This window comes from Homo sapiens, chromosome X, assembly GCF_000001405.40.
Source record: "Homo sapiens chromosome X, GRCh38.p14 Primary Assembly".
In the NCBI taxonomy this organism is placed as follows: Eukaryota; Metazoa; Chordata; class Mammalia; order Primates; family Hominidae; genus Homo; species Homo sapiens.
Genome location: NC_000023.11, coordinates 129,165,904 through 129,190,484, shown reverse-complemented (window position 1 = coordinate 129,190,484; position 24,581 = coordinate 129,165,904). Strand labels below are relative to the sequence as shown.

Genomic DNA, 24,581 nt, shown 5'->3' with positions numbered 1-24,581 from the left:
AGCTAAAAAAAAAGCCTATATGATCAATCACTATTCTTGCTGTACTTTGTGCAAATAATCAGGCTAAGTTTATGAAACTAATTTTATTTTTACAAACAACTTGGTCTTACTGTGATTATAGTTGTCAGAAATAGGGGGACTGGAGAGAGAAAATTATGTTTCAGAAGAAAACTATAGTGCACCTGTTATTAGATTCTATTCCTGTCCATTATTTTTGAGTTTTTATCTGGACTGAATTCTGAATTCTTAGTTTGTTCTAATAATCTCACCATAAGTCCCCAAAGTAACATTTTCAATTTTTCTCTCATCCTTCTGATTTGAAATCACTAGAAATTAAAAACTGCCTTTTGTTCCCTGAGGCCCACAAGCCAAAGCTGGTCAATTTGGCTTTAAAGAAAAATCACCACGACAGCTTCTATTTGGACAAACTTTGTGACAGGGAAACTATAAACCAGAAAAATCTGTCAAATTGCCACCACCTGATGTTGCTCCAACTATAGATGCTTGAATCCCAAATCTAGTAATCTTCTCCACTGACTGCCCTCCAGATTCTAAGTAAACTAGCTTATAGACTGCTCTAGACATTAACTTTTGTTTTTCTTCTGTTTCCATAAAAATGTGTCTTATTTAAAAAACCTCTTTGCCTACACTATATAGAGATAAAACTTTTATGGGATCCTGGAAAACACCACCTCCTGAATTGAGACACAACTGTTTAATTAGATTGACCTATTCCCAGCAATGGGAGATTGGTTTAAGGGACCCTTTGCCATTTAGCTACAAACTCGATTTTTCTCTCTACAGCCACCAACTCAGCTTTAAATGTATGAAATTTCTAGGGAAGTTTCAGTCAGGGGAATGTTGGTGTTCAGAAAATGATACCCAAAATATGGCACTTTCACATGCCAAACTAAAGAAGCAGCCTCAAGGTCTCTCTCTGACCTTTCCCTGTCTCCCTGATCCTCTTTCCCTATTCTTCAGAGGGTGGTTCTGAGAGATTACCTGGGGGAACTTCATCTGCATAATGAGACAAACTTCGTTTATAGTGAAGTTTTGCCCCTCATCTTTCCATTGTCTCAGGCCATTGTTCTTTGGGCTTATTCATTTCCCCTGAAAATCATTTCCTTCTACATCTCCCTCTCCCCTTCCCCTATGAAGAAGGGTATATAAGCATGTGGACCTCCTTGGGTTATTGAGTAATCATTCTCCCGTGATTCCTCCATGCTATGCACTTTAAATAAATTTTGTATGCATTTCTCTCCTATTAATCTGCTTTTTGTCAGTTCATTTTCAACAAACCTTCAGTGAGTGAAGAGGAAGCTTTCCTGCCACCCCTACAGAATGCAGATCATTTATATTCCTCTCTGACACTAGTAGATGGAGGATGTCAGGGTCCTGTACATCAGAGATAGGGAGAAACTGTGACTGATACTTATAAGCTGAGGGTCTCAGAGAAATATTTCTAACAGTCCAGCAACTCTATAGGCACATTCATTTAGTTTCTGCATTGTGGTGAGATGACATACTCTTCCCAGTGCTGTCTCTGAGATAATTTGGGAAGTGACTACATTTATCTTTGGTAACTCTAGCCCTCCCTTTTAAAAATAATAAATACCACATATTGAGCATTTTCCATGTGCTGAGAAGTGTGTTATATGGTTTACCCAGTCATATATAATCACATGTAATGTTTATCACAAGTCTGATGGGCCATTTTCATTGAGTGCATCCTGTGCTATGTACTTCCTGTACCTTGCCTTATTTAATCTTCACAGTAACTTTATGAGATTGGTGTTACTATTGTTTCTATTTTATAGATAAGGTTACTAAGAGTCGGTGGAATTGTTGTAGGAGTTATTAAGAAATTATTTTAGGCAGATAGAGAGGAAAAGGGGTCCTTGGGAAGTTTTCGTTTTTTAAAGCATCTTTCTTGTAAAGCCCTGGCTCTTAGAGCCCAGCTGGCAACCTTTGATATGCAAATGTAGGCTATTAGAAACTGGGTCCACCCAAACATGGCGATTCCCGCAGCCTTCTTGCACTTGCTGACAAGTGCCTGGCAACATGGCTGCCCCCACATATCCCCACGTGTGTAGAACATCATGGCGCCCTACATTTGCATATTAATAGGCTGGGGTGGGAGGGCCAGTTTTTTCCTGGGCTATGTGAATGACATACCTGGTCAAACCAATCCCCTGAGCCCTGTGCAAATCAGATACCGCCTCCTCCAGCCTCTACATATACCTGACTGGTTTCTGCCCGACTTGGGGTCTCCTCTCTTGGCTTTGGAGCCCCCCTCCCTCTGTCTGTGTACAGGGGAGCTTCTTCTTTCTTTCTCTTCCCTTCTTTCTTGCCTGTTAAATTCTCTGCTCCTTGAAACCACTCCACATATGTCCATGTCATTTTATCTAAACCAGCATGAGGACCAAGAACCCTGGTGTTCCTCTACTCATTGGAGCCATATCAGAATGAAAGGATTTGCTTAAGGTCACACATGTAGAAAGTAGTAGAACTGAAATTTGAAATCTGGCTTTCAAGGAAGAAGTTGAGTTGTATTCATACTAAGATGTAGTATTGGGTTTAGGAAGATGGGGAGAAGAGAGAAATATCCGGCTCAAGTGGAATATTTTTTTTTATCCAATCATTCATTCAACTCCTTTCTTCAAGTCATTCAGGCCAGAACTCTTGGAGTAATCATCATCATCACATCCATATCTAGTATATCAGTGAATCTTTCAAAATAGATCGTATACAAAAGCCAACATTCCTCCACATGTTCACTGCCACCACCTTGGTCTATGCTACTATCATCTCTTATCTGGATGACGGCAACATCTGCCTTCTTTTGCTCTAGTCCTCTATGGCAGACATTGCTAGCTGTCTATAAAAACTCATTTGGCCCTTCTTCAAATAAATACACCTGAATGAACATCTGTCTGGCTGGACTACATTCCCTAGCCTTGATTGTTGTTAGATATGCCCATGCGACTAAGTTTTCATCAATAGAAGTGAGCAGAAATGACGTGTGCCATTTCTGAGTCAGTGACTTGTGACATTTGGGCTTGCTTCCTCTATACCCTGTTCTTATTCTCTCTGCTAGAACCTGGATATCTTGACAATATGGCTTTGAATTTGCAGATCATGACAAGGCCCTAGGTGATGGTCTTGGAAACAACTTGGAAATAATATGTGCCCATGAATCACCATGAGCAAGGGACCTTAGCTATAGATTAGAACAGTTTGCATCAGGGCTGTTAAGTAAGAGAGAAAACAAACTCCTTTATTCTTAAGCTACCATAAGGTTGGGTCCTTTTGTGATAACACCCTAACTTTACCCTAATTAGTATACTCCATACAGTCTGTTCTCTACACAGCATTCAGAATAAACTATTTAAAAACATATCATATCATGTTGCTTCTTTACTTAAACCCCTCTAATGGCTCCCTGTTCCTCACAATGTAAAAGCCAAAGTCCATAGAATGACATGTCCAAGCTCCTACCAAGCTCCTATGTTACCTCTCTGACTCTTCCCCAATCATTTTCCTGCTGGTCTCTTTTCTATCTTTGAACCTGTCGAACACATTCTCACCAAAGGGACTATGCCTGTGTTGTTCCTTCTGCCTGGGAAAACCTTCCACAGCTGCATGGCTCATTCCCTCACTTCATTCAAGTCTTGCCTCAGTTACTGCCTTTGTAGTGAGGCTTTTCTGGACCATCCTATATGAAATAGGACCCCCATCACTAACTAGCCGTTTACCAGCCTTAGTTTTTCTCATAGCACTTATCACTAGTTGACATACGTGTTTGTTTGTTACCTGCCTCCTCCATTTGGAATGTGTACTCCATAAAAATATGGAATTCGGTTCACTGCTATTTCCCTTGTGCCTAAAAGAATGCCTAGCATGGCTGGGCACAGTGGCTCGTGCCTGTAATCCCAGCTACTCAGGAGGCTGAGGCAGGAGAATCACTGGAACCTAGGAGGCAGAGGTTGCAGTGAGCTGAGACCGTGCCACTGCACTCCAGCCTGGGCAACAGAGTGGGACTCCATCTAAAAAAAAAAAAATGCCTAGCACATAGTAGGAGTTTGATAAATATTTGTTGAATGAATGACTTCATTTATTAATATTCCATAATCCTTGAAGTCAGTGATTCTCAAACTTCCTTGTGCCTAATAATCACCTGAATGCTGTGAATGCTGTTTCCTGGGAATATATCCATTCTGATTCTGATTCAACTAATCTTGGGTGGGTCCCAGAAATTTACTTTTTTAAAACATGCACCCATCCATTGTAAACTTGATACAAATGGTAAGGTGACACCTCTTTGAGAAACACTGCACTAGACTGTAAGCTTCATGAGGGTTTTCTCAATAATGTAGTTGCAATGCCTTGCTTAGTGCTTCACCCATAGTAGATACTCATCAACAATTTTTTAAATGGATCAATGAACAAATAGTAATTGCAGTTTCTTAGTTTCCAGGCACTCTGAGAGATGATGAGATCACCCTAGTGGAAGCACCTTAAACTTTACACTTATTTGTCCAACAATAGTCCCTGAGGCCTGGGAGTCTACTCAGTGCTGCTATAATGTGAACTAAGTTATCCTTTAAGACAGTGCTTCTCAAATTTTAACAGGTACTGGAATCACCTGGGTATCTTGTTAAACTGCAAATTCTGATTCACTGGCCTGGGATATGCTTGGGATTCTGCATTGCTTACAAAATCCTAGTGATGCCATTGCTGCTGGCCCATCAACTGCACTTTGAATAGCAAGGATTTAAGCTAAAAAAGGATAGTGGGCTTAGCTAGCCAGATGATTACTGCTTGCCCGGGGCTACTTGCTCCTCTGCTGCAGAGAAATTTTTTTTGCCCGAGGCTCAGTGGAAGCTGCCTAATTTTCAAGCTCTACCAACAACTATACATGTTTTAATTAAAAAGACCCTCAAACAATTAAGATAGAGCATTTAGGGCGACTGTAACATTCATGGATGTAAATTGTGTTGTTTTTCTGAGGGAGACGGAATAATGTTTGTGTCTTAGTTTAATTAAAAAATGAAAGAAAGGAGGCTTCATAGGTGACAGATAGATGCCTGAAAGTGCTACAGAGATCTTGGATGAAATAATTTTGTTAATTGAGCAAGACTTAGGCACAGTAAAACTCTTAATTTAGGCTACCTGTGTGCGATAATTTGATTGGGAGGATAATGCCTTCTTCACCTTTTCCAGCCTTTCAAGAATCCTAAATTTCCCACTGTCTTCTGCTTATTTTGGCAAGACAAAAATAATTTTCACTGTCACTTAATTCTTTCGCCTTAATGCATTTAGATTCCAGAAGTTCACTCAGACAATGTAAATGGCCCCAAATTAGGAAAACATCAATTACTTTACAGTCATGAACACCTTAGGGCAGGGGCTTTTACCTCTAGGGCTTCTTGTTCAGGCTTCAGGGAAACTTTGAACTCCCCCAAATTTCATAAAAGTTGTGTGTATATACGTGTGTGTGTGTGTGTGTGTGTGTGTTGTGTTTTTTTTTTTCCAGGGAGGGATTCCATAGCTTTTAGAAGATTCTCAGATGGGGTCTGTGTTTCCCCACAGATTAAAAATCTTCTTAGATATGCAGATAACAGAGATTAGGACAGGGGGTTTTGAATGGTAGGGTAGAGAAATATACAACACTTTATTTCAGTTTGTTTTGTTTTGCTTTACATTTCTTTCTGTCCATTAGATTATGTCCTCCTCGAGAGAAAGCCATACTCATCTGTTAATCTCTGATGCCCAGAATGGTGTCTAGCACAGAAGAAGTATTCAATACGTGGTTTCAAAATAAGCAATGAAACTAGGTCAGGAAGGGACCTGGGAAATAGGATGAAAAGGGAACTCAAGAAGCAGGGATCATTGAAACACTGGGCTCTGGATAGCTAAGTGAGGGTGAGATGAACATGGACAGAGAAGACAGGACTGGAAAGGTACCCAGAAAATACTTCAGTGGGTTGATACTTTTTATAGGGCTCAACTGCATATACACATATTCTTTTTGGGGGATCGTTCTCAATGGGAGGTAAAATCCAAGTCTAACATCTCAGCTTTTTCCCTCTTGTTTCGTAGTTAAGATGTGCTGTTCAATCAATAAAACTGAATAATTTAAATTCAATATCACTCTGTCACTATCAATAATACTTTTGTGAGTGATGTAGTACTATGGTAATTCAATTTGTTAGTCACTGCCACACTTTCACATGACAGTCTGCTGAAGTTGTAAACTTAATTTACTCTAGGCACTTGACACAAGTAACATTGATGGGTTTTATCTTTAAAAATATTGATTTCCTCCCGAAAAGATCTCCTCTATATTTGTGCTTATTGAATAAACAAGCACCTGCCTGGTTAAGAAAAACTTTTTTTAAGCTAAGGAAGCTTCCTCCTTGGTTTTAAGTAGCTCTTTGCTGAACAACTTAAAACTCAGAACCTTAGGGCTAGGAGAGACCTGGAATTTTGTGTTGCCTTGTCTGTTTGACCATTTCCAGGGGCAGCTTTTTATCATCTAGGGTAGCAGAGTCCACGGCTGGATAGCTCTCATGGTTGGAAAGTTCTCCACAGTGAGAGAAAACCTACTCTTCTGCAACTTTGACTCATTATTGGTTTTCCCGAGTGACATATTGTAAATCGGTTCACCAACTGGTTGCTGGGCTTTTCATACATTTAAACACTGTTTGCGTGTATATCCAAGATTTTTCTGGTCCAGGTTAAACATTCCTAGTACTTTCAACTTGTTGTCATTTGACAGGATTTCTAGATCACCTCACAGTCATGGTCATTCTCCTCTGGCTGTACCACAGTAGTTGACCAGTCTTTTAAAATGTACAATCCAGGCCAAACACGGTACTCCTGATGAGTTCTAAATGGATTGAGTTTCACATAGACTTTTTTTTTAATGATGCTATCAAACCACTGTTCAACTCCCTAAAAGTAAAATTAATGAACTATATATTGTCATTACTTGTCTCTCTTTGTTATTTGACTCCCTTTATTACATTAAATTATACATTTGACTCATTTTTTCATAATGAATAGTTTGCACGTGAATAAAATGACCAACTTAAAATAAACAAATAAAAAGTATGTATTCACTAACAGTTATATTATAAATAAGTACATTCATAATCAATCTCTCATTATACCTGTTCCTCTCTTTCATAGAAAGCACTTATATTATAAGTGTAATTGATTATATCTTTAAGCATCTTGGCATTCTCAGGTTTACAGATTAATTGGGGAAAACTGTCCATTTTAATAAACTTTGGTTTTTTGTCCCATTCTTTAAAATGTTTTTTATTATGGAAAACTTCAAACATTTACCGAAGTAGAAAACATGAACCCCCATGAACTCATCACCTAGGTTCAGCAAATATCAGTTCATGGCCAATCTTGCTTCATGTATATAACCTCACTCCCATACCCAGAATTACTTTGAAGCAAGTCCAAGGCATAATTTTGTCTTAAATGTTTCAGTATATATTTCTAAAATATATAAGCTCATTACAAAAATAATATTCACAATATCATTATCATGCCTGAAAAATTAAGTTATCATCAAATAATATAGGCAGTATATACATTATCTTGACTTTCTCATAAATTTTCTTTTAAATTTGTTGGAATAAAGATCCAAATAAGGTTCCTACACTGCAATATTGCAATTAGAGAAGAGAGAGGAACCTAAAAATTAAATGAGACTTAAGAGGCATATAAACTCTCTCTTCTATCTCTATCTCTAACTTTCTCTAACTCTATATCTATCTATCTATCTATCTATCTATCTATCTATCTATCTATCTATCATCTATCTCTCTATCTCTCTATTCTATCTTTATCTCTATCTCTCTCTCTCAGTCTGGATTTTGCTGATTGCATCCTAGTAGAATCACTTAAAATATTCCTTTACCCTCTATTTGCTAGAAATTGGCAGTTAGACAAATTCAGCTTTCATCTTTTCACAAGAATACTTGATAGGTGAGGTTATGTGCTTCTATCAGAAAGCATGTAATGTCTATTTGTCGCTCTTTTTGTGATGTCAGCAGCCACTGAGGCTCATTGCCTAGATCCATAGGGATTATGAGACGGAGATATGCTAGTACTATCAAAACTTCTTCAATTATTAGTTGGAATACTTTTATAAATACAAATTTGCCCTTATCAGCTGTTTGGTTTTAGTGGAGTACACATCATGCAAGGATGGCAGGATGAATTCTTCATTCTTTCTCTTTATTTACTAGTTTTTGAAAGAACGAGTTGGTTCACTAGCATTCTCCAACAGTGACCAGTGAGTTTTGTTTTACTGTCATCAGTAACTCATACCTTTAATGAACTTTATGTGTTTCAATCCATTGCAGTTATTATTTCTACTGATGATAAAATTGTTTCAACTTTGGTCACTTGGAGCCCCTTCATGTTGACTCTTAAGTCCTTTTACATGACTCTGTTTTGATAGCTTCCTTGCTATCTGATATGACAAGGTGATCCAGTTTCAACTTGAACATTTGTCCCAGACCTCTACTTTCTCCAAGGAGCCCTGATTCCTTTTAGTGATAAAGGATATTTAGAGATGACAATCTTGGTGCTAGGGTTGCTCATTGCTATTGGGCTAGTCAGTGTTTCTAGGGCTTTTTCAGTGGACAGAACTAGGGTTTTTTTTTTTTTTTTTTTACAGGATCCTACTCCCATCGCCGAGGCTGGAGTATAGTGACTGGATCACAGCTCACTGAAGCCTCAACTTCCCGGGCTCAGGTGATCGTCCCACCTCAGCCTCCTGAGTAGCTGGCACTACAGCTGTGTGCCACCATGCCCAGCTAATTTTTTGTACTTTTAGTAGAGACAGGGGGAAATTTTTTTGGTTTGTTTGTTTTTTGAGATGGAGTCTTGCTCTGTCACCCAGGCTGGAGTGCAGTGGTGCAATCTTGGCTCACTGCAACGTCCACCTCCCGGGTTCAAGCAATTCTCCTGCCTTAGCTTCTGGAGTATCTGGGATTACAGGTGCCTGCCACAATGCCCGGCTAATTTTTGTATTTTTAGTAAAGGTGGGGTTTCATCATGTTGGCGAGGCTGGTCTTGAACTCCTGACCTCAAGTGATATGCCCACCTCGGCCTCTCAAATTGCTGGGATTACAGGTGTGAGCCACCATGCCCGGCCGGAAATATTTTTAAAATGTGAAACACATCATGGGTGTTTAGGATAGTTCTAACTCAAATTTAGGACTTCAGGGTTTTTACTTGATGCCATTGATCCAATGTCTGTATATCCCTTTTTCTATGCTAAAAATCAATTAGAAGGCTAGTGAAAACAGTTTAAGATTTTTAAAATTAATCCTGTCCTTAAGATGTATCCCACTAGGAATGGAAGGTCAAATAGCTGCATTTAAAAATCACTAGAAATAGTTGCTCTCTGGGTTGTTATGGCATCAATTCTGTAAGCAGGTTCATTTCTTTTAATTTAATTTTGTTTTATAGTAATTATTTTTAAAAATTTAATTTACTCTTATACCTATATAAGATATTACAAAGAACCAGACTCACAATTCTAAAAAATAAGGTATATTTAGAGAAATCTAACTTCTATCCTTGTCCCCTCTGCTATGTTCCCTCCTTTCCCTATAGATAACCATTTCAAAAGTATTTTAAAAAAATAAACATTTCCTACAGTCTAATATACATGTATGAAAGAGAACACGTCATAGACATATAGTGCAATGAGTTATCACAAAGTGAAAACATCACAATATCACCACATACTTGCTTAAGAACTAAAACATCACTAGAACACCCAGAAGTTCCTCTCATGTATTCTCGATCACCATTCCTTTCTTCCTCCCCAAAGCAAATACTGTCCTTACTTCTAAAATTATTGATTTGTTTGCCTTACTATTTGTCCTTCATATAAGTGGAATCATATGGTATACATTCTTTAGGGTCTAGTTTTTTTCATTCAATATTATGCTTGTGAGATTCATCCACAGTGTTTCATGGAACAGTCATGTATTCATTTTTATCATTGTAATGTCCATAATTTATCCTTAATAATCTTGATAGATATTTGGGTTGTTTGCAGGTTTTGCCTATTAAAATTTATGCTTCTATGAACATTCTTGTAAATGTATTTTGTTTCTGTTAGGTATACACATAGGAGTGGAATTGCTAAGTGATAAGAATATGTATATATTCAAATTTAACACATACTGTCAGTTTTCCAAATAAATCATACCAATTTAAAGTCCCACTAGTAGGTATGAGCATTCTCTTGCTTCGCATCCCATTTAGGAAGAAAGTATATCTCTCAAATTATTTAGGTATCACAATTAAGTTCCTAGTCATTATTTCTTGTGTTTTGTAATTACATGGGCTCATAATTTGCAAATAATAATGATTTAAATTTCCTTTTAGGGAGGATGTGGAGCAAGATGCAATAGAAAGTTCCACTGATCATCTTCCCACAGGGACACCAATTTAACAACTATCTACACACAAAAAGCGACTTTGTAAGAACCAAAAATGAGGTGAACACTCATAGTACCTGGTTTTTACTTCATATTGCTTCATATTGCTGAAAGAGGAACTGAAGAGGTAGAAAAAAAACAGCCTTGAATTGCCAACGCCACCCCTCCCACATCCCTCTGGCTGTGATAGTGTGTTGCAGAGTGTTTCTGTGCTCTGGAAAGAGGGAGAGCCAGCAGTTGTGAGGTATGGAACTCAGTGTTGCCCTTGCTGTACCAGAAAGCAAAACTGGACCAAATACCACTGACACCTGCCCACAGAGGATGCATTAAACCAGCCCTAGCCAGAGGAGAATCACTGATTCCAGCAGTTGGAAATTGAGTTCTTGCAAGCATTGCTACCATGGGTTAAAGTGCTCTGGAGCCCCAAATAAACTTGAAAGGCAGTCTAGGCCACAAGGACTGCAACACCTAGGCAAGTCCTAGGGCTGCACTGGACCCAGAGACAGTGGACTGCGGGGAGGCACACAACCAGCCAGGGTGGCTAAGGGGATTCTGGCATCGTCCGTTTCCTTCCTTAACCCCAGGCTGCACAGCTCACAGATCCTAAAGGGAGCCCCTCCTTCTGCTGGAAGAGAGGAGACAGAAGAGTGGGGAAGACTTTGTCTTACATCATAGATACTGGCCCAGCCACAGCAGAATAGGGTACTGGTCAGAGTTGTGAGACCCCCTTTCTAGGCCTCAGCTTCCAGATATTTCTAGATACACCCTGGGATGGAAGGGAACCTGCTCCCTTGAAGCAAAGTGCCCAGTCATGGCAGGATTCATCACCTGCTAACTGAAGAGCTCTTGGACCGTGAATAACCAGCAGTTATCACTGCTGTAGTACCACTGGTGTAGTACCCGGGTACTACACCAAGGGCCTTGGGTGAGACATTGAGACTTGCTGACTTAAGATGAGACTCAGCACATTCCCAGCTATGGTGGCTACAAGGCAAGACTCCTTCTGCTTGAGAAAAGCAGAGAAAAAAGTAAGGAGGACTTAGTTTTGTATTTTTGGTACAAGCTCGGCCAGAGAGGGGTACAGTACCAAGTGGACGCTTGGGTTCGCCGATTCCAATACTTGGCTCTTGGACAGCATTTCTGGACCTGCCCTGGGCCAGAGGGGAGCCCACTCCCTTGAAAGCTGAGATCCAGGCCAGGCTGCATTCACCACAAGCTGACTAAAGAGTTTTTAGGCCTTAAAGGGAATATCTATGGTAATCTGGTGGTATACCCTGTGGGCCTGAAGTGATGGTGGCCACAGGGTGAAGTTCTGCCTTTGGAAAGGGGAGGGAAGAGTGGATAGGACTGCATCTTGTGATTTGATTACAAGCTTAGCCACAGTTCAATAGAACACCAGGTGAACTTCTAAGGTTTTTGATTCTAGTCCTGAGCTCCCAGACAGCACCTCTGGACCCATGCAGGACCTGAAGGAACTCACCTCCCTTAAGGGAAAGACATAGGCCTGGCTGTCTTTGCCACCTGCTGATTGTAAAGCCCAAGGGCTTTGAGCAAACATAGGTGGTAGCTAGCAAGTGGTTATTGCAGGACTTGGGCAAGACCCAAGTGGTGTGCTGCCTTCAAGTCTGACCCAGTAATATTCTAGGGGTGGTGGCAACAGGAGTACTTGTTGTACCCCACCCCCGGCTCCAGGTGGCTCAGAGCAGAGAGAGAGATTCTGTTTGTTTCAAAGAAAGTAAGGAAAGAGAACAAGAGTCTCTGCCTTGCAATCCAGAGAATTTTTCCATATCTTGTCTAAGTCCATCAGGGCGGTACTTCTTTGAGTCTGCAAGAACCACAGTGCCACTGAACTTGGAGCCCCCTCTAAAGCAGATATAGATTAGATCACAACAACCAAGTCCTTTCAAATACCTGGAAAGCCTTCTTAAGAAGGATAGGTACAAACAAGCCCAGACTGCAATGACTACAATAAATACCTAACTCCTCATTGTCTAACACTGAAGAACATTTACTAGCATCAACACCCTCCAGGAAAACATGACCTCACCAAATGAACTAAATAAGGCACCAGGGACCAATGTGGGAGAAACAGAGATATGTCACCTTTCAGACAGAGAATTCACAATACCTGTTTCGAAGAAACTCAATGAAATCCAAGATAACACAGAGAAAGAATTAATAATTCTATCAGATAAATGGAACAAAGAGATTAAAATACTTAAAAAGAATCAAACAGAAATTAGAGAGTTGAAAAATGCAAGTGACATACTGAACAATGCATCAGAGTCTTTTAATAGCAGAATTGATCAGTCGGAAGAAAGAATTAGGGAGCTTGAAGATAGGCTATTTGAAAGTGCACAGAGGAGACAAAAGAAAAAATAATAAAAAACAATGAAGCATGCCTACAGGATCTAGAGAATAGCCTTGAACAAGTAAATCTAAGAGTTATTGACCTTAAAGAGGAGATAGAGAAAAAGATAAGGGTAGAAAGTTTATTCAAAAGGACACTAACAGAGAGCTTTCCAAACCTAGAGAAAGATACCAATATTGAAGAAGGCTGTAAAACACCAAACAGATTTAACCTAAATAAGACTACCTCAATACACTAAATAATCAAACTCCCAAAGATTGAAGAAAAAAAATTCCTAAAAGCAACAAGAGAAAAGAAGCAAATAACATGCAATGGAGTTCCAATATGTCTGGCAGCAAAGTTTTCAGTGGAAATTTTACAGGCCAGGAGATAGTGGCATGTTAAATTTAAAGTGCTGAAGGAAATAAACTTTTACCCTATAATTGTATATCCAGCAAAATTATCATTCAGAAATGAGGGAGAAATAAAGACTTTCCCAGACAAACAAAAGATGACAAATTTCATTAATACTAGATCTGTCATACAAGAAATGCTAAAGAGAGTACATCAACCAGAAAGAAAAGAACATTAATGAGCAATAAGAAATCATCTGAATGTACAAAACTGACTAGTAATAGAAAGTACAGAGAAAACACAGAATATTATAACATTGTAACTGTGGTGTGTAAATTACTCTTATCTTAAATAGAAAGACTAAATGATGATGCAATCAAAGATAATAACTACAACAACTTGTCAAGACATGGACAGTACAGTAAGATGTAAGTAGTAGCAACAAAAAGTTAAAAAAGCAGGGAATGAAGTTAAGGTGTAGTCTTTATTGGCTTTCTTTTTGCTTGTTTGCTTATGCAAGAAGTATTAAGTTGTTATAAGCTTAAAATAATAGATTATAAGATAATATTTGTAAGCCTCATGGTAACCTCAAACCAAAAAAACATACAACAGATACACAAAAAATAAAAAGGAAGAAACTAAATCATGCCATCAGAGAAAATCACCTTCATTAAAAGGAAGACAGGAAGGAAAGAAAGAAGATAAGGCCACAAAACAACCTGAAAACAAATAATAAAATGGCAGAGTAAGTTCTTACTTATCAAGAATAATATAAATGTAAATGGACTAAACTGTCCAGCCAAAAGACATAGAGTGGCTGAATAGATGTAAAAAACCCATTGCCTTGTTGCTTACCAGAAACACACTTCACCTATAAAGACACACAGACTGAAAATAAAGAGATGGGAAAAGATATTCCATGCTAATGGAAACAAACCAACCAACCAACAAACAAAAAACAAAAGCAAGAGTAGTTATACCTATATCAGAAAAAAATAGATTTCGAGACAAACTATAAGAAGAGACAAAAAAGGTCACTATATAATAATAAAGGGGTCAATTCAGCAAGAGGATACAACAGTTTTAAATTTATATTCACGCATCACTGGAGCACCTAGATATATAAAGCAAATATGATTAGAGCTATAAAGAGAAATAGGCCCCAATACAATAAAGGCTAGACACTTTAACACCCCACTTTCGGCATTGAACAGATCTTCTAGACAGAAAACCGACAAAGAAACATCAGACTAAATCTGCACTATAAACCAAATGGATCCAATAGATATTTACAGAACATTTCATCCAACAGCTACAGAATACACATTCTTTTCCTCAGCACATGGATCATTCTCAAGGATAGGCCATATGTTGATCACAAAACAAATCTTAAAACATTCAAAAAAACTGAAAAAATATCAAGCATCCTTTCTGACCACAATGGAATAAAATTAGAAATCAATACCAAGAGAATTTTTGGAAACCATACAAATACATGGAAATTAAGCAATATGCTCCTGAATGACCAGTGGTGGTCAATGAAGAAATTACTAAGGAAATTGAAAAATTTCTTGAAACAAATGATAATGGAAACACAACATACCAAAACCCATTGCATTCAACAAAAGCAGTAATAAAAGGGAAGTTTATAGCTCTATGTCTACATTAAAAAAGATGAAAAACTCCAAGTAAGCAACCTAACAATGCACCTTAAAGAAATAGAAAAGCAAGAGCAAATTAAGTCCATAATAGTAGGGAAAAAGAAATAATAAAGATAAGAGCAGAAAGGAATGCAATTGAATGAAGAAAATAATACAAAAGATCAATGAAACAAAAAGTTGTTTTTTAAAAGTTAAACAAAATAGACAAACTTTTAGCCAGAGTGACTAAGAAAAAAAGAGAGAAGATCCAAATAAATAAAATTAGAGATTAAAAAAGAGACATTACAACTGATATCGCAGAAATTCAAAGGATCATTAGTGGCTAGTATGAACAACTATATGCCAAAACTTAGAAGAATTGGACAAATTCCTAGACACACAAAACTTACCAAGATTGAATCAGGAAGAAATCCAAAACCTGAACAGACTAATAGCAAGTAACAAGAATGAAGTCATAATAAAAATTCTCCCAGTAAAGAAAAGCCCGGGACCCGACGGCTTCACTGCTGAATTCTACCAAACATTTAAAGAAAAATTAATATCGATCCTACACAAACTGTTCCAACAAATAGAGGAGGAGGGAATACTTACAAACTCATTCTATGAGGCCAGTGTTACCCTGATACCAAAAACAGACAAAGACACTTTAAAAGAAAAGGAAACTACAGGTCAATATCCTTGGTGACTATTGATGCAACAATCCTCAACAAAATATTAGCAAACTGACTTCAACAAAATATTAAAGAGATCATTCATCATGACCAAGTGGGATTTATCTCTGGGATGCAAGAATGGTTCAACATATGCAAATTAATCATATGATTTGCACATGTGATACATCATATCAACAGAAAGAAGGACAAAAATTGTATGATCACTTCAATTGATGCTGAAAAAGCATTTGGTAAAATTCAGTACCCCTTCATGATAAAAACTCTCAAGCAACTGGATTTAGAAGGAACATACCTCAACATAATAAAAGCCATATCTGACAGACCCACAGGTAGTCTCATACTGAATGGGGAAAAACTGAAAGCCTTTCTTCTAAGATCTGGAACATGACAAGGATGCCCAATGTCACTACTGTTATTAGACAAAGTACTGGAAGTCACAGCTAGAGCAATCAGACAAGAGAATGATATAAAGCACATCCAAATTGGAAAGGATGACATCAAATTATCCATGTTAACAGATGATATGATCTTATATTGGGAAAAACCTAAAAACGCCATAAAAAACCTATGAGAACTAATGAACAAATTCAGAAAAGTTGCACGATACAAAATTAACATATGATTTTCAGTAGCATTTCTATATGTCAACAGTTAACTAACTGAAACAGAAATTTAAAAAATTGTCCCATTTGCAATAGTTACAGGTAAAATTAAATACCTGGGAAATAACTAAGGAAGATCTCTACAATGAAAACTATAAAATATTGAGGAAAGAAATTGAAGGTAATACAAAAAATGTAAAAATATTCCATGTTTATGAATTGGAAGAATCAATATTGTTAAATTGTCCATACTACCCAAAGCAATCTACAGATTCAATGCAATCCCTGTCAAAATACCAATGACATTCTTCATAGAAATAGAAAAAAAATACTAAAATTTATATGGAACTACAAGATCTAAAATAGCCAAAGTTATCCTAAGCAAAAAGAACAAAACTAGAGGAATCACATTACCTGACTTCAAATTATATACTACAGAGCTATAGTTACCAAAACAGCATAGTACTAGCATAAACAGACACATAGACCAATGGAATAGACTGGAGATCTCAGAAACCAATCCGGACATCTATATTGAACCCATTTTCTACAAAGGTGCTGAGAACATACACTGGGGAAAAGACAGCCTCTTCAATAAAGGGTGCTGGGAAAACTGGATATCTCTATGAGGAAAAATGAAACTAGACTCCTATCTCTCACCATATACAAAAATCAAATCAAAATGGATTGAAGACTTAAATCTAAGACCTCAAACTATGAAACTACTACAAGAAAACATTGGGGAAAATCTCCAGGACATTGATTTGGGCAAAGATTTCTTCAGTAATACCCCATAAGCACAGGCATCCAAAGCAAAAATGGGCAAATGGGTTCATATCAAGTTTAAAAGCTCCTGCAAAGAAAAGTAAACAATCCGCAAAATGAAGAGACAACCCACAGAATGGGAGAAAATATTTCCAAACTACCCATCTAACAAGGGATTAATAACCAGAATACATAAGAAGCCCAAACAATTCTGTAGGAAAAAAATCTAATAATCTGATTAAAAAGTGGGGAAAAGATTTGAATAGACATTTCTCCAAAGAAGACATACAAATGGCAAACAGACATATGAAAATGTGATCAGCATCACTGATCATCAGATAAATCAAAACTACAGTAAGATATCATCCAGTTTAAATGGCTTATATCCAAAAGACAGACAATGAAAAATGCTGACGAGGATGTGGAGAAAAGAGAACCCTCATACGCTGTTGGTGGGAATGCAAATTAGTACAACCACTATGGGGAACAGTTTGGAGGTTCCTTAAAAAACTAAAAATAGAGCTACCATGTGATCCAGCAATCCCTCTGTTGGGTATATACTCCCCAAAAAGGAAATCCATACATCAAAGAGATATCTCTACACCGTGTTTGTTGCAGCTCTGTTCATAATAGCTAAGATTTGGAAGTAACCTAGGTGTCTATCAACAGATGAACGAATAAAGAAAATGTGGTACATATACACAATGGAGTACTATTCAGCCATAAAAGAGAAAGAGATCCAGTCATTTGCAACATGGATGGAACTGGAGATCATTATGTCAAGTGAAATATAAGCCAGGTATAGAAATACACGCATCATATATTCTCACTTATTTGTGGGATCTAAAAATTGAAATAATTGAACTTAAGGACATGAAGAGTAGAAACATGGTTACGAGAGGCTGGGAAGCATAGTAGCGGGGTGGGGAGTGGTGCGAGGGGGAGGTGGGGATTGCTAATGGGTACAAAATAATAGAATGAATGAATAAGGCCTAGTATTTGACAGCACAACAGCATGAATATAGTCAATAATAATTTAATTGTACATTTAAAAATAACTAAAAGAGTGTATTTGGATTGTTTGTAACACAAAGGACAAATGCTTGAAGGGATGAATACCCCATCTTCTATGATGTGATTATTATGCATTGCATGCCTGTATCAAAATATCTCATGTACTTCATAAATATATACACCTGCTTTGTACCCACCAAAATTAAAAATTAAAGAATTTAAAAAGTAAAAAAAAAATTAAACATGTCAACCTTATCTTTTTCCTTTTTTTATTGTCTTAGCTAGGACTTCCAGAACAATTTGAACATTAAAGGCATTAATATGGATCCTTATCTTTGATGGGAATTTTTTAGTGTTTTAACATCAATATGTTAACTGTTGGTTTTTGATAAATAATCTTCAATTTAAGGACGTTCTCTTCTGTTTCTAGAATGCTTTGAGAGTTTTTGGCCATGAATTGGTACAAACTTTTAAACATGCTTCTTTGGCAACTATTGAGAATATTATATGAGTTTCTAAATAATCAGCTTGTTTAAAAACACAGCTTTATGAGGTACTGTACCATATCATAAAATACTTCACACACCATAAAATTCATCCTTTTTAAGTGTAAAATTCAGTAATTTTTAATATATTCCCAGAGTTGCACAACCATCATTACTATTTAAATTCAGAATATTTTAGTCACAGAAAAAAAATTACACGTCCATCAGCAGTCATGCCCATTCTTTCCTCTCTCCAGCCCAGGGCAACCACTAATGTGCTTTCTATTTTTATGGATTTGCCTATTATGAAAATTTCATATAAATAGAATCATACAATATGTTTCTTTTTGTGACTAGCTTCTTTCACTTAACATAATGTTTTAAGGTTCATATCAATATTTCAATATTGTAGCACATATCAATATTTCATTCCTTCTTATTGCCAAATAATATTGCATTGTATGAATATACCACAATTTATTTAATAATCAGTTGATGGACATTTGTGTTGTTTCCATTTCTTGGCCATTATGAATGTTGCTGTTGTTAACATTCATGTACATCTTTTTGTGTGGACATATGTTTTTAATTTTCTTGGGTATATATCTAGGAGTAGAACTGCTAGGTCATATGGTAAGTCCATGTTTAACATTTTGAGGAAATGCCAAATTGTTTTCCAAATTATTTTACTATTTGATATTCTAACCAGCAATTTATAAAAATCGCAATTACTCCACATCCTTGCCAATGCTTTTTATTGTCTGTCATCTTCATATTAGCAATCGTCATTTTGATTTGCATTTCCTTAATGACCAATGATGTTAAACATATTTTTATGTGCTTATTGGCCATTTGTATATCTTCTTTGGAAGAATAAGTATTCATATCATTTGTCCATTTTTAATTGGGTTTTTGTCTTTTTGTTACTGAGTTGTAACAGTCATTTATATATTTTAGATATAAGTCCTTTATTAGATATATGATTTGTAAACGTTTTTACCCATCTTGTGGGTTATCTTTTCACTTTCTTTGTTTTCTTCTTTGAGTCTGCTTCCTAGAGAATCTTTTCACTTTCTTGATGGTGCTCTTTAAAGTGTGAAAGTGTTTAATTTTGATGAAGTCAAATTTGTCTGGTTTTCTTTGGTTGCTTGTGCTTTTGGTGTCATATCTAAGAAACCACTGTCTAATGCAAGGTTATGAAGATTTACTCTTATTTTTTCTCATAAGAATTTTATGGTTGTCATTGTTAAATTTGGGTATTGGATCCATTTTGACTTAGTATTTGTGTATGGTATTTGGAAGAGGAATACTTTCATTCTTGTGTATGTGGATATCCAGTAGTACCAGCACCATTTGTTGAAAAGGCTATTCTGTCCCTAATGAATGATCTTGGCCCCATTGTTGAAAATGAATTGACTGCAATGTATAATTTTTTTAGACTTTAAATTCTGTTCCACTGATTTATATGCCTGTCTTTATATCAGTATCACACTGTCTCAATTACTGTAGCTTTGTAGTATGTTTTGAAACCAAGAAGTTTGAGTGGTCCAAGTTACATTCTTCTTTATCAAGATTATTTTGGCTACACATAGTCCTTTGCATTTCTGTATTAATTTTATGATCAGCTTGTCAATTGCAACAAAGAAACCAGCTAGGATTTGCTAGGAATCATGTTGAATCTGTTTATCAGTTTGAGGATTATTGCCATCTTAACACTTTCTCTATCCCTTCAGTCTCGTTCTCTTTTTCTGCCTCTCATTCTTCAGTTGTAGCAGTAGGAAGCTGAGACAGAAATAAATTGAACATTTCTCAAAATGCTGTTATGAAGACAAAATAAAAAATTAACTAAAACTAAATAGGTTAAAAAAACAAAGAATGTAAGTGAACTGGTCAGTTAGCAAGTTGATCATGAAGATGATTGGCAAATTTTGGTGATTTGACTTAGATTTGTATGGAAAAGAGTTGTATGTGTGGTAGAGGGACACGACATGTATTTGTGCTGACATTGGGGAGTTTATCTCCTCTTTCTTGGCTTTCTCTGTCCCCCAGGTGTAAATTTCTTGCTGTTGTAATGGGCAAACCCTAAACAACTTCTCCACCCCTTCTTAACTGTGGGCTGAGAAAAATCACTAAACCATGATTGTTAAAGCTATGTCTAGAATAAAAATTGCATCTGAATATCAGTTTAAGAAATTACTGTATGAGTAAATCAGATTAGAGGATAGACATTGTGACATCCAGTTTTGCTTCTTGGAAACTTATTTTTTTTTGTTATTTTATTTAGCTTTATTTTTGCTCATTTTCCCCTTTTCCCTGTTATTGCAGTTAGATGAAGTTTATGGAAAAGTGATCTCTGGTTGAATGAAACATGATATTATTATATTTCTGTGGCCTTCATTTATAGAACAATTTGTTTGACAGTTATTTCAGTCTAAAGAAATCCCAAAATTTGTTATACTACTGCTAGAATCATTTACACCATTTGATCTCCAGCTATACGTTTATCTTCAAAACATATCAATAAATTTTTGGATTTGGATTTACTACCCCAGGTAATTCTGAAAGCTTGATATGTGTGAAGTATAGAGTGGGCTTTGGGAAATTTGTTTTAGACTATGGCTATGTCTTTTTTCCTGTGCTTTAGGAAGCATTCTGGAAGAGGAGTAGGGATTGAAAGGCCAAATATGTCTGAACATCTAGGCAACCTGGGTCTCCAGCTCATGAGAAAGATATCAAGACCTGGATCCCAGTGATGGATACATGAGACAAAGATTAGGGGTGAGTATTACTAAGCCAGTGGACCTCAAATGTTAGGGTGTGTCAGAATCCCCCGGAGGGCTTGTTGAAACACAGATTGCCAGGTTCTAGCTCCAGAATTTCTGGTTGACTAAGTCAGGAGTTGTTAGCGGTGGAAGTTTTCTGAGTTACTGGTGGTGAATCCATATGAGTCTGCAGCAACCTCAGTTCTTGCCTCCTAAGAAGAAACTATTCAACAGAGGGGCATAAGGCAGAAGAAGAGACCCAGGCAAGCTTTAGAGCCACAGTGAAAGTTCATTAAAAAGCTTCAGAGCAGGAATGAAAAGAAAGTAAAGTACACTTGGAAGAGGGCCAAGCAGGCATCTTGGAGAATAAGTGCCCTGTTTGACCTTGGACTTAGGGTTTTATATGCAGGCATACTTCCTATGTCTTGTGTCCTTATTCCCTTCATTCTTCCCTTGAAGTGAGCTGCCTGCATGTTCAATGGCCTGCTAGCACTTGGGAGGAGAGTATGCACACCTACTCTAGTATGTTTACTAGAGTTTTAGGCGTGCTCACCTGAGGGATTCTTCCCTTTTCCAGTGGAATGCCCCCAGAAGGTCATATACAAGCTAAACTCTGCCAGTTGGCCTCTTAATGTGCATGCTTGAGCCCACTTGCCCAACTTCTGAGATCTTATTGGGAAGCTGCTGATCACCAGTTTCAGGTGTTTCTATTTGGAAACCTTCCCTAGTGCTGGATGCGACCAATTATTATTTTAGAGAGACAGTGTGACAATTGCCTGACCATAACCTGATGGTCGTCACATTCTCGGTGGGGTTGGGGGAGTCCTCTCTTGCCCCACTCATGCCTGGCTAGCTACCTACTGTAACAGAGTGGGCTCTAAAATTTTTCATTTCTTTTTTTTATATTTTATTATTATACTTTAAGTTTTAGGGTACATGTGCACAATGTGCAGATTAGTTACATATGTATACATGCGCCATGCTGGTGTGCTGCACCCATTAACTCGTCATCTAGCATTAGGTATATCTCCTAATGCTATCCCTCCCCCCTCCCCCCACCCCACAACAGTCCCCAGAGTGTGATGTTCCCCTTCCTGTGTTCATGTGTTCTCATTGTTCAATTCCCAAGTATGAGTGAGAACATGCGGTGTTTGGTTTTTTGTCCTTGCGATAGTTTACTGATAATGATGATTTCCAATTTCATCCATGTCCCTACAAAGGACATGAACTCATCGTTTTTTATGGCTGCATAGTATTCCATGGTGTATATGTGCCACATTTTCTTAATCCAGTCTATCATTGTTGGACATTTGGCTTGGTTCCAAGTCTTTGCTATTGTGAATAGTGCCGCAATAAACATACGTGTGCATGTGTCTTTATAGCAGCAAGATTTATAGTCCTTTGGGTATATACCCAGTAATGGGATGGCTGGGTCAAATGGTATTTCTAGTTCTAGATCCCTGAGGAATCGCCACACTGACTTCCACAATGGTTGAACTAGTTTACAGTCCCACCAACAGTGTAAAAGTGTTCCTATTTCTCCACATCCTCTCCAGCACCTGTTGTTTCCTGACTTTTTAATGATCGCCATTCTAACTGGTGTGAGATGGTATCTCATTGTGGTTTTGATTTGCATTTCTCTGATGGCCAGTGATGATGAGCATTTTTTCATGTGTCTTTTGGCTGCATAAATGTCTTCTTTTGAGAAGTGTCTGTTCATGTCCTTTGCCCGCTTTTTGATGGGGTTGTTTGTTTTTTTCTTGTAAATTTGTTTGAGTTCATTGTAGATTCTGGATATTAGCCCTTTGTCAGATAAGTAGGTTGTGAAAATTTTCTCCCATTCTGTAGGTTGCCTGTTCACTCTGATGGTAGTTTCTTTTGCTGTGCAGAAGCTCTTTAGTTTAATTAGATCCCATTTGTCAATTTTGGCTTTTGTTGCCATTGCTTTTGGTGTTTTAGACATGAAGTCCTTGCCCATGCCTATGTCCTGAATGGTAATGCCTAGGTTTTCTTCTAGGGTTTTTATGGTTTTAGGACTAACGTTTAAGTCTTTAATCCATCTTGAATTAATTTTTGTGTAAGGTGTAAGGAAGGGATCCAGTTTCAGCTTTCTACATATGGCTAGCCAGTTTTCCCAGCACCATTTATTAAATAGGGAATCCTTTCCCCATTGCTTGTTTTTGTCAGGTTTGTCAAAGATCAGATAGTTGTAGATATGCGGCATTATTTCTGAGGGCTCTGTTCTGTTCCATTGATCTATATCTCTGTTTTGGTACCAGTACCATGCTGTTTTGGTTACTGTAGCCTTGTAGTATAGTTTGAAGTCAGGTAGCGTGATGCCTCCAGCTTTGTTCTTTTGGCTTAGGATTGACTTGGCGATGCGGGCTCTTTTTTGGTTCCATATGAACTTTAAAGTAGTTTTTTCCAATTCTGTGAAGAAAGTCATTGGTAGCTTGATGGGGATGGCATTGAATCTATAAATTACCTTGAACAAGTTCAGGTGATACAGATGCTGCTTGTTGGGAACCACGCTTTGAAGGCCTTGTCCCTCACTGGCTCTAGCCAAAAATAAACAGTAAGAGAATTTTTCTTCGGAACCCTTCCTTTAGGAACTCACTTCAAAGACACTGAATCATATCTATATGTACACATACATATGTACACACACACATGTATACTCCACTAATTTGGCTGTTTGTACCTTAAAGTCAGTGATTGAGTCTTATTTGTTTTTGATTTTCAGGCCCCTAGATAAGCAAATATTTGATAAATTATGCTGTTTATTTTTTTTTCAAAGTTTTTCATCCAAATAATTCTTAGAGTTTAGTGCTAGGACAGTTAGTTTTTCTGATTCTCCTTGTTATTAGATAATAAATATTGCATAATTTATTCCGTATTACTCTTGCATTTGGCTGCCAGGATGCTCAGAATTGTGCACAACTACTTTACCTATTACTAATATATATTTTCTTCTGCAAATAGCTCTATCTTCTCTTTCTTTACTATGAAACATCAGTTCCATTACTCTGGTTTTCAACAGTTCATGTTCATTCTATCTATATATAATTTTAATTATAACAGGTCTCAATATTTTACCAAATATAAAAATAAATCGGTAGAAAAAAATAATTCACTAGTGCCTATAATGGGGAAAAGAGCAGTGATGAATATTTTGGCAAAGTGTCCTTCTGTATACCTGTATGCAGGTACCAATTCCACAACTCATATTCCACCTTCACTGGGGAAGAATAAATATCATCTTAGCACTGTCCATCTGCTAGAGTGGGTTTAGCGTGTCTGCTTGTAGAGTAAATGGTACTTATTATATATGACTTCTTCAGCCCTTTAGCTTAGGGAGGAAAAAGAGCATGAAATAGCTTTCCTGATTGTGAATGCTTAAAAATTCTTAGATCATAACTGGGCCTGATTA

At 37.3% G+C, this 24,581-nt stretch overlaps 1 long non-coding RNA gene across 1 annotated transcript in view, besides 1 other annotated feature; it reads left to right on the top strand.

The window, feature by feature from the left end:
• Nucleotides 1,528–2,276: an enhancer, noted in NCBI's record as "OCT4-NANOG hESC enhancer chrX:128322186-128322934 (GRCh37/hg19 assembly coordinates)". NCBI's record gives its function as "activates a minimal SCP1, AML or CMV promoter by ChIP-STARR-seq in naive and primed H9 embryonic stem cells {active_cell/tissue: H9 hESC(naive and primed)}" and the evidence as "EXISTENCE:reporter gene assay evidence [ECO:0000049][PMID:30033119]".
• Nucleotides 4,053–24,581, top strand: part of LOC124905213 (uncharacterized) — a 275,363-nt gene continuing 254,834 nt past the window's right edge. Inside the window, exons 1-3 of the long non-coding RNA XR_007068324.1 lie at nucleotides 4,053–4,632; nucleotides 10,432–10,728; nucleotides 21,034–21,167. This is a non-coding gene — a long non-coding RNA (uncharacterized LOC124905213). The remainder of the gene's footprint in view (nucleotides 4,633–10,431; nucleotides 10,729–21,033; nucleotides 21,168–24,581) is intronic.